Here is a 10,562-nt window from a genome sequence, read left to right as displayed (position 1 = left end):
CCCCTGCTGCCCCAGGACACAATTACCTACTTTGCATTTAGATTTTCCAATTGAGTGCCTGCAGTTCTCACTGAAAGACCTGGCCTATAGAGCAGAGTGATCACAGAGCTCTTCAAAAATGCTGGGGCTCTTGTCACAAATTTCTCAGTGTTGGTGACAGGAATGACTTCTGGACTCTCCCATGTGGGTGAGTGGGTCTTAAATGACAAATCTACTCTAACATTCCATTTCTTTAAGCCTTTGAATCTCTTTCTCCATTAAATGAAAGCAGATGCAGCATTTCCGGTTTGCTCACTGTGGGCTACCTTTCCATCACAGTTTCACCCAACTACTCACACAAACTCTGAGTGCACTTTCTACCTCCCCAAGCTGCAAAATTAAATGCAGAATGTTTGCTTAGTGAGCCCATATCAATAAATTTGGCCTGAACCAACTTTATGTTTTCTTTTATGATTATCCCACACTCTCAGTATTCATTTCCACACATGTTCCTCAGATATTTTGTATCTTACCCTTAGGAGCCTGCTGAGACTTGAGTATAGAAGCAAAGAGAGGTGCTGGGGTGGTACTAAAATTTGAATTGAAATCTGAGGTTCTGCAGATAAATAGAAAATAAAGCAACAAGGGAAATTGACTTATACAATTATGGAGGCTGAAAAGTAAAATTATCTGCTGTCTACCAGCTGGAGACCCAGGAAATCTGGTGGTATAGTTCAATCTGAGTCTGATGTCCTAAGGACCAGGGTAGACACTGTTTTAAGTAAGTCATCAGTGTTATAAATAAAGTTTTGGTGCTGCAGAAGAAACAGTACTCAAACATAAAATTTTCAATTCTCAGCAAGGCAAAGTACTTCTATAGAAGGGTATGCCCTCAAGATGGAGCAATGGTGAGCACACACCTGGACAAGGGAGGGAAAGGTGTTCTTATTCCTGATGCATGTGGTCCCTACTGCTGTGTGGTTCTCCTATTGGCTAGGGTTAGACGGCACAGGCTAAACTAATTCCGATTGACTAAAGAGAGTGACAGGGTGAGTGGTTTGGCAGGAAAAATGGTTATGAATTGAGTCAGGGTGGAGAATGAATCGGAATGAGTCAGGGTTGAGTAGGTAATTGGAATGAGTCAGGGTGAAGAATGAGTCAGGGTGGAGCAGGTAATAACAATGAGTCAGAGTGGAGAATGAGTCAGGGTGGAGCAGGTAATCGCAATGAGTCAAGGCAGAGAATGAGTCAGGGTGGAGCAGGTAATCAGAATGAGTCAAGGTGAAGAATAAGTCAGGATGGAGAATGAGTCAGGGTGGAGTAGGCAATTGGAAATGTTGCCTTACGAGAAAGTTAAGTTTAAAAGTAGAAGGCATAGAATTGAATATAGTGACATATTAATTCTTTGAAGAAAAATTTAGAATTTATATTTAACAATCAGTCAGAAGACTGATATCCTAGCTCAGCAATCAGGCGTAACAGATGCATTCTCCTCTACTCTGCCTTTTTTCTATTCAAACCCTCAACAGATTAGATCAGGACAACCCACATTGGAGAGAACAATCTACTGTTTTTAGTTCACCTATTCAGATACTAATGAGATCAGAAAACATCTTCAGAAACATATGCAGCAATGTTTAATCTGTGCACCCTGTGATCTACTTAAATTGACACATAAATTTAACCATCACAATAATCCTATTGATGCCGTTTATTTTTGTGTATGTATATGACGTACTATCTCAGGTCATTTGCTTTCAGCCTAAAGAAATTTCTTTCATATCTCTCATGTTGGTCTGCTAGAAACAAGTTATCTCAGTTTTTGTGTATCTACAAAGTCTTGCTAATTTTTGAAAAATAGTTTCCATGGATACACGATTCTTGGTTGATAGTCATTGTCTTTAAGTATTTTGATTATCCCACTGCCTTCTGGCCTCCGTTGTTTCTGCTGAGAAATTAGATGCTAATTTTATTAGGATTTTTTTGTTATGAGTTATTTTTCTATTGCTGCTTTCAAGATTTTCTTCCTTGTATTTGACTTTTAGTATTTTTAATTTGATGTGCCTGTTTGTGGATCTCTTTGTGTTTATCCTACTTGGAGTTTGTTGAGCTTCTGGAATGTGTGAATTAGTGCCCTTCAATAAATTTGGGAATATTTTTGCCATTGTTTTTTAAAGATATTTTTTTTGTTTCTATTTTCTCTCCTTTCCTTCTGGTACTGTTATTACATGTGAATTGGTGTGCTTGATGATTTCCCACACTTCTCTGAGGCTCTGTTTATTTTTTAGATTCTTTGTGCTATTTGTCAGCTTGCATAATCTCAATGAATTTATCTTCAAGTTTGCTAATTGTTTCTACTGTCAGGTCAAATCTATTTTCCCAAACTCTTTCAAATGAAGTCAGTACCCTTGGAAATGGAAAAGAAATTATCTTTTGTAAGCCCTGCTTATCCCCTCAGTGAGAAAAAAAATCACTGAGAGACGGCACTGGAACTGGATTGAAAATGGCCTACACTTCTCTGAGTGTCCCCCTGTTCTAGAAACTGAGTACTCAGTCATGTGGATGTGTGAAGGCAGCATCCCAAGGTCCTCTTGGCTTATTTCTAATGGCATGGAATAGCCACTGCATTAGCAGGGGCAAGGTCAAGGAGGACCCCACTATTCTATGCATGCCATGCCCTAGGCAGAGCCTCTAGTACATAGGTGGAAGATGGACAGCAGGTGGAAATTCTCACCTCTCAACTGTACCAACCTTGGGCTTAGGCTTATGTTTGGATATCTAAGGCAGGATTTGAAATGCCAAGTCCTGATTATTTAAAACAGAAAGCACTCCAACTGAAAAATGGGTATAGAAGGAGCCCTGTTCTTGTTTGAAGCAATCTAGAATGCAGTCTTCACCTCACTGAGCTGGGAGTGGGGAAGAAAGAAGTGGTCTTGTTCAAATGCCACAGACTATCATCTTTCTTATTAAATATTTCTAGATTTTCTTGAAGAAATGTTTCTTGATTTGCTGTTTATCCTTAGGGCCATTTCTAGAAGCTTAAATGTATCTATGTTTGTATGTATACGTATGCCTGTATGTGTGTATATGCATACCTGTTTGTATATATGTACATGTATGTGTACATGTATATGTGTGTATGTGTATATGTATACATAAACTTTTGCTTTTACTCTGTAGTAGAACAGCAGAGCTTGCACACTTCGTGTTAGAGAGGTTTATTAACTAAATCCATTTTTAACATGATAGCCAGATTGTTCCTTCTTAACAATAACTTAAATATATTACATTTATTTCTCCACTTAAAACCTTCTATGGGATTCCGCAATAATATTCTTTACCCCTTGTGATATTCAACCTCCAAAGTGGTCACAACGATCTCCAGCCAGTTGAATTCACACCCTTTTGTGGTCTCTACACATTTTCCAAGAGTCTTTTTATGTGACCAATAGTATTTGACAGAAGTGAGCATCTATGTTATTAGGATACTCCATTAGCCTATAGAGACAGACATGCAGTGAGGAACTAACAGTAGATGTGAAACTGAGGCCTTCCAAAGCCATGTTAATAAGCTTGAAAAAAGATTCATTCTCATGTGAGCCTTCACATAAGACTGCATTCCTGCCTGACTAGTTTTGACTGCAGTAACATTGAAAGCTAGAGTCAAAATCACACAGGTAAACTGCTACTAGATTCCTGACACAGAACATAAGAGACAAGATATATTTGCCCATGAGGACAAAAATTTTTTTTCATTATATAAACTAATCTATTTTCTGTCCTTAAAATATTTCTGGCACTTAATAAATACTCAATATAAATTTGCTGAGCAAATGAATGTTTGCATTTTATTAGATTTCAGTGACTCTATATAAAATATTTTCAATATAATAAAGAATATTTGTATATTTTCTAAATGTATATAAATTTTCTATCTTGCATATCTTATGTAAGATTTAAGAAGTAACTCAGAATAGAAGTCTTTGAGGTTTCACTGTAACACTTGAGAAAAGCAGAAAGTCTAGAGTGTACTCATCAGGATAATCTTACTTTCTAAAAAGGAACACCCATACCCCTTCCAGAGGTCTAGTTTTCTGTCAGCCTGATGAAAGACAACTTAATTCCCAGAAATTTTAGGAAATGATAGAAGACCAGAAATTGACTTGAGGGATTTTTATAGCTAGACCAATCATTTCTAAGGGGAAATGGAACTATTGCCAAGTTTGTAGTATATACTGGTATAAAACTTTCATAAAACATCCTAAATTCCTATAGACATGTTTAATAAAATAACTCACTTCTTCTAACAGATATGTGTTTCAGTGCAATATTTTATTAAGAAAACTTTGATTTACTTCCCACTGGACACGTGCAATCTTAGCCTGAGGTGACTAAAAGCACCTGTTTCTAAGAATGCTGTAATTCATGTTAATGTTGGTGTTGAACACCAGGCCTTGTGGAATCCAACGTATCACTGCTTTCTTCCTGTATGATATTAGGTTGCTGCAAAAGCAATTGTTGTTTTTGGCGTTACTTTTATTGGCAGAAACCGCAATTACTTTTGCATCAATTTAATAAAAATCTGGTAAGTTATAAATTTGAGTAATTTAAAATAAATGTGCTAATATTTATATGTCTGTGTAAATTTTCGAGTGCTTCTATGGCCTGGAAAAAAAATCATAACTGCATGTATTTATAACAGCAAATTATATCATAATCATCATAAAACATGATTAGTGCCTCAATTTATTTATTGTTATAGCTAGAAATAATTGTTTGACTATGGAGGAAGAAGCAGAACTCTTTAAATATATGTTAAACTATTCACTTACTCCAAATATTATAAATAGACAACTTTGATTTGATCTATAATTGTGAAGTATAATTGGTATGTGAAAGATATCTGAATTATATCTATTTAATATATTAGTGTACAAATTAGATATAATATTCATTTAAAAAAGTTTCTGCATTTCAAATTGACTAAAGTGTATGTTGAAAATATTATTTTCTATTGTTAACCTAGGTAAATATCACACTAAGATTCCAAAAGTAGTTATGCATTGCTATAGTCATAACATATGACAGAAATATTTAGCATTATAAAATAAATATATATTATTTTTGGTATCAAGAACATAAATAATAAGTGATCGTGTGACAAAATCTGAGAAAAATGTTTTGAAATGTTTTGCTTTGGCTCCTGGGTTCATACAGCTGTTTTTGAGACATTAACATTTATATTAGATTTAATAATATATACACTATTAAATATTTGGAAAATTAGCAAGATGAATTTGTGCAAACAGTTATATATAGTTCTGTTTGTTCTTATTTTTTATATATGTGGTGTTATGATATATATTGGTTTTCATTCATGGTTTTTTGTTTATAACTCCCATAGCCCTTATTAAAGTTTTTTGTTATCATGTTGGCTGTTTTAGAACTCAGGAAACAGAATCTCGCTCTTACCTTCCTTGTACTTGCCCAAAGGCAGGGCTCTAAACTTCCCATGCCTTTCTGACTGTGGGTCTTAAGACCCTCTCCAGAGAGGAGTCCACCCTACAATCTGGGAGAAGGAATGCTGACATCATGAAGATTCCATAAGAGCCCGAGGCCTGGGTTTGAGGAGCTTCTACAAAGTGGAACACATGGTGGTTTCTGGAGGATGCTGTACTCAGGGAGGGCATGGAAGGTCCACACCCCTTCCCCCATACCTTGCCCTGTGTGTCACTTCATCTGTATCCTTTGTCATATCCTTTACAATAAACTGGTAAGTGTAAGTGATTCCTTGAGTTCTGTGCACTGCTCCAGCAAATTAATCCGACCCAAACAGGGGCTCATGGGAACCCCAACTTGAAACCAGTGGGTCAGAAGTTCCAGAGGCTTGGACCTGTGACAAGCATCTAAAGGGAGTGGGGCAATCTTGGGGACTCAGCACCCAACATGTGGGATCTGACACTATCTCTAGGTAGATAGTGTGACAATTGAATTGGAGGACACTCCGCTGGTGTCTGCAGCTTGGTGTGTGGGGAAAATACCAACACGTTTGGTCACAGCAGTCTGCTTCTGTATTGGTGATTGACTTGGCAGTGGGAGAACAGAGGAAAAACACAGTTGATAGGAGCTTTTCTCTGAAACAACATAATGTCTTGTAAACTATAAAGTAGAATTTGTAAACAGTTAAGGTAATCAGGTAAAAAAGAAAAAAATGTCATTTAAAGTGTTTATATAAAAAAGCTGTGTAGTCCAAATAGATTATATTATCTCACATATATAAATCACAGAAAACATCTATACAGATATTAAGAAGTCTAAGTATATAAGGCTGAAAAATATGATACTTTTGATAGCAGAATGATGAAGGAGATGGGGTAGAGTTAATCAATTACTATTCCTTTTACATATAAAATATTGGAAAAATTAAAATACACATATATTAAATAGTTTACATTAGAATTTATTTTAAAACAAAATGTATGGATTAGTCTATATAGGATTATATTATGTTAAACAGGATACTGTTTGCATTCCTAACAGAAATTCTTTGGGAAATAATAATTGACATTTTCTATGAAATTATGCTTATGTTTTTCCTATGCATAATTTAATGCAAAAATACAAATTATGCATAGGAAAAACATATGCATAATTTAATACAAAATACAAATTATTATTTCCCAAAGAATTTGGGATTGTAGTGATTTATGTTAGTATGTTATTATCATTATCACCATGAAAAAGACATGTATTTGTGAATAATTCTTTTTGGCTATTAAGTTTATTTAATGAAAAAATTTATATTGTGATAATTTAATTATAAGTGAGTACTATTCTTGTTTAAATTATATTACCTGTTAAAATATCAAAGACAATATTAAATAATGGGTAAAAAGTAAAAAAAAAATAAATAACAAACACGTAATTATTGACTTCAAGTAAACTTTTTAAAAAGCTAAGAAATAACACCTGCCTTAAACATGACTGGTATGGTTTGGATTTTTGTCCCTGCCCAAATCTCATGTCAAATTGTAATCCCAAATGTTGGAGCAGACACCTGGTGGGAGGTGACTAGATCATGAGGGCAGATTTCCCCCTTGCTCTTCTTGTGATAATGAATGATTTCTCACGAAATCTGGTTGTTTAAAAATGTGTAACACCTCCCGCTGCTCCCTTTTCCACCTTCTCTGGCCATGTTAGACATATCTGCTTCCCCTTTGCCTTTCACCATGATTTTAAGTTTCCTGAAACATTCCCAGACAAGCTTCCTGTACAACCTGTGGAACTGTGAGTCAATTAAACCTCTTTTTCTATAAAAGTTACCCAGTCTCAAGTAGTTCCTTATAGCAATGAAAAGACAGACTAATGCAACCATCTGTAATATATGAGCAAAGGAAATAATCTTTATTACTCTTAAACCTATAGAAACCAGACTACATTAGACAGAGGCCAATACACACCCTGTGTACATCACTGAACATTTGCAATATGGGGTTTATTTTACTGTTGATAGGAGAGTGTTATGTGATACTAAGCATAACAATGCCAATGGGAGGTAGTCAAGTGGAACAGTATGAAAATAGGTACATATATGTTCATCTTATTCAGCCTCAAGCATTAATATATGCTTTGGCCAGTAAGCAAATTCCAGTGGAGAACTGAAGTGACTTTCTGGAGGCCTGTATTTTTTTAATTAAAAATAGTTTTAACATTGGCTGATTGATGATGAGTTATATATTGCTTTACTTAGGCCAGTAATGAAGGTCTGCCAAAACAAAAATCAGCATTTATAATTATTTCAGACCTATTAAGAAGGAAGACCAATTTTTTAAAAGTCATATTCAAGCAAAAAAAGAAAGAATCCTATACTAAATAAAAAATGTATTTATAACAGGTACTAACATCAGTAAAGGTAGCTATTTGAATTATCAACCACAAAAATCCTTAAGAAAATTAGTCTTTGCCTACAAAATAATACTATTACTGACATTGAATTTGCATATGATTAGTCAATCTGAAGTAAATATAAAGTCAACGTTAAAAAAAAGGTCTTGATTACATTTGGTCAATTTTTAGCAGAATAAATCCTTGAGTGAGTCAATAAGTTTCTATCTCTTTATTTAAATAATGTTAACAATACTTGTTAGGAGAGCACAGACACTGAAGCTAGCGTACCCAGGTTTAAACCTGGATCTACCATTTTGTTGAAATGCTATTTAGAAGTTTACAAAGTCTCTCTGTGCCTCAAATTCCTCCCGGATAGAATAGGAATTATAACATCACATGTTCATAAGGTTGGTATGAGTATTATGTAAGTTCATACAAATAAAGATCTCTGAAAGGTAATTAGCACATGCTAAGATCTCAATAACTGTTGGTTGTTTTATTTCTGCTGGTCTTAGTCTGCTTCCTGCTGCTATAACAGATTATTTACATCTGAGTAATTCACTTTTAAAAAATGGGGCTTAATTGGCTCACAGTTCTAGTGTTTGGGAAGCCCAAGAGGATGTTGTCAGCTCCCTGCAATGGCTCCACTGCTCCATTATTCCACTGTAGAAGGTGAAAGAGCCCATAAAAGAGAGAGCTCACTTTTATATCAACCCTGGCAACCACTGATCTTTTTACCATCTTCATAGTTTTGCCTTTTCAAAAATGTCATCTAGTCTGAATTATACATTATTAGCCTTTTCAGATTGACTTCTTTCATTTACTATTATGCATTTAAGATTACTCTATGTCTTTTCATGGTTTAAAGCAAATTTCATTTTAGTGCTGAACTATATTTCATGGTTTGGATGTACCACTATTTATTTCTCATTCATCTATTGAAGAATATCTTGGTTGCCTCCACATTTTGGCAAGTATAGATAAGGCTTTCATAAACATCTGTATGCAGATTTTTGTGTGGATACAAGTTTCAACACCTTTGAGTAAACACCAAAGAATGTGACTGCTGGATAGTGTGGTAAGAGTATGTTTTGTTTTGTAAAAAATCTCCAGATCATCTTCCAAAGTGGCTGTATCATGTTGCATTTACATTAGCAATAAATGAGTGTTTATGTTTCTCCACATTGTCACCAACATTTGATGTTGTCAGTGTTTGGGATTTCAGTAATTTTGATAGGTGTGTATTAACATGTGATTGATGTTTTAATTTGCATTTCTTTGATAAAATATTCTGCGGAGCATCTTTTCTTATGTTTCTTTTCCATCTTTATATTTTCTTTGGCAATGTATCTGTGAAGGTCTTTTGTCCATTTTTTTAATTAAGGTATTTGTTTTCCTTTATTGAGTTTTAAGAGTCCTTTGTATATTTTGGATAGGTTCTTTATCAGATATCTTTTGTAAATGTGTTCTCTCCATTGGTTGCTTATCTTATTTTTCTCTTAGTAGTTTCTTTTGTAGAGAGAAAATTTTTAATTTTAATGAATTTCACGTTATCAACTTTTTAAATGAATCATTCCTTTGGGTTTAAAATTCAGAACCAAACAATTATTTTTAAAATTTAAAATAGTAAATTTTAAAAATTTTAAATTAATTTGAAAATTATTACCATGCCTGAAGTCATCTAGATTTTCTCCTATGTTATCTTCTAAGAGTTTTATAAATTTGCCTTTTATATTTAGCTCTATCATCTATTGTGAGTTAATTTTTGTAAAGTAACGTATGTATCTAGATTTATTTATTTGTTTTTGCAGCAGGATATCCACTTATTCTAGTACCCTTTGTTGAAAGGTATATCTGCTTCATTAGATTACCAGTCGTCTTCGACAAAGATCATTTGGGTATATTTACCTGACTGTTTCTCGATGCTTTATCCTGTTTCACTGATTTATTTGCCTGTCCTTTTACTAATATCACACTGTTGTGATTGCTGTTACTTTGCATTAAGTCTTGAGGTTGAGTGGTATTATTCTCCCCAATTTTTTCACATTCAATATTGTTTTGGTGATTCTGAGTCTTTTGCTGATTCCTAAAAACTTTAACATAAATTTGTTGATATCCACAAAATAACCTGCTAGGATTTTGTTTGAGGCTGCATTTAATCTACAGATGAAATTGTGAAGAACAGTCATTGTCTTAGTCCATTCAGATTGCAATAGCAAAATATCTTAGACTGAGTAATGTATAAACAACAAAAATTAATTGCTCACAGTCCTGGAGGCTGGGAAGCACAAGATCAGAGCACCAGTATCTTTGGTGTCTGCTTCACAGATGGTGCCTTCTAGTTGTGTCTATATGTTGGACGAGGCAAAGAAACTGCTTCAAGTCTCTTTTCATAAGGCACTTATTTCATTTATGAAGGCCTTACCCTCATGACTTAATCCCTTCTGAAAAGGCCGCATTTCTTAGTATTATCACATTGGAGATTATATTTCAACATATAAAATTGAAGGAACACAAATATTCAGAACATAGCAGACATCTTGGCAGTATTGAATCTTCCTATCCATGAACATGGTGTACCTCCACATTTATTTAGTCATTTGGTTTTTTGATAAAATTTTTGTAGTTTTCCTAATATAGATCTTTTGCATATTTTGCTATGTCCATACCTAAGTATTTCAATTTTGGGTAATACC

At 34.4% G+C, this 10,562-nt stretch overlaps 1 annotated feature.

Moving 5' to 3' along the window:
- Positions 328–1,527: an enhancer, noted in NCBI's record as "P300/CBP strongly-dependent group 1 enhancer chr13:63216915-63218114 (GRCh37/hg19 assembly coordinates)". NCBI's record gives its function as "activates an origin of replication core promoter dependent on BRD2, BRD4, P300/CBP, MED14 and CDK7 cofactors, with strong dependence on P300/CBP, by STARR-seq in HCT116 cells {active_cell/tissue: HCT116}" and the evidence as "EXISTENCE:reporter gene assay evidence [ECO:0000049][PMID:35650434]".

The sequence above is a fragment of the Homo sapiens genome, chromosome 13 (assembly GCF_000001405.40).
Source record: "Homo sapiens chromosome 13, GRCh38.p14 Primary Assembly".
Taxonomy (NCBI): Eukaryota; Metazoa; Chordata; class Mammalia; order Primates; family Hominidae; genus Homo; species Homo sapiens.
This window is presented reverse-complemented; position numbering and strand designations above follow the sequence as displayed.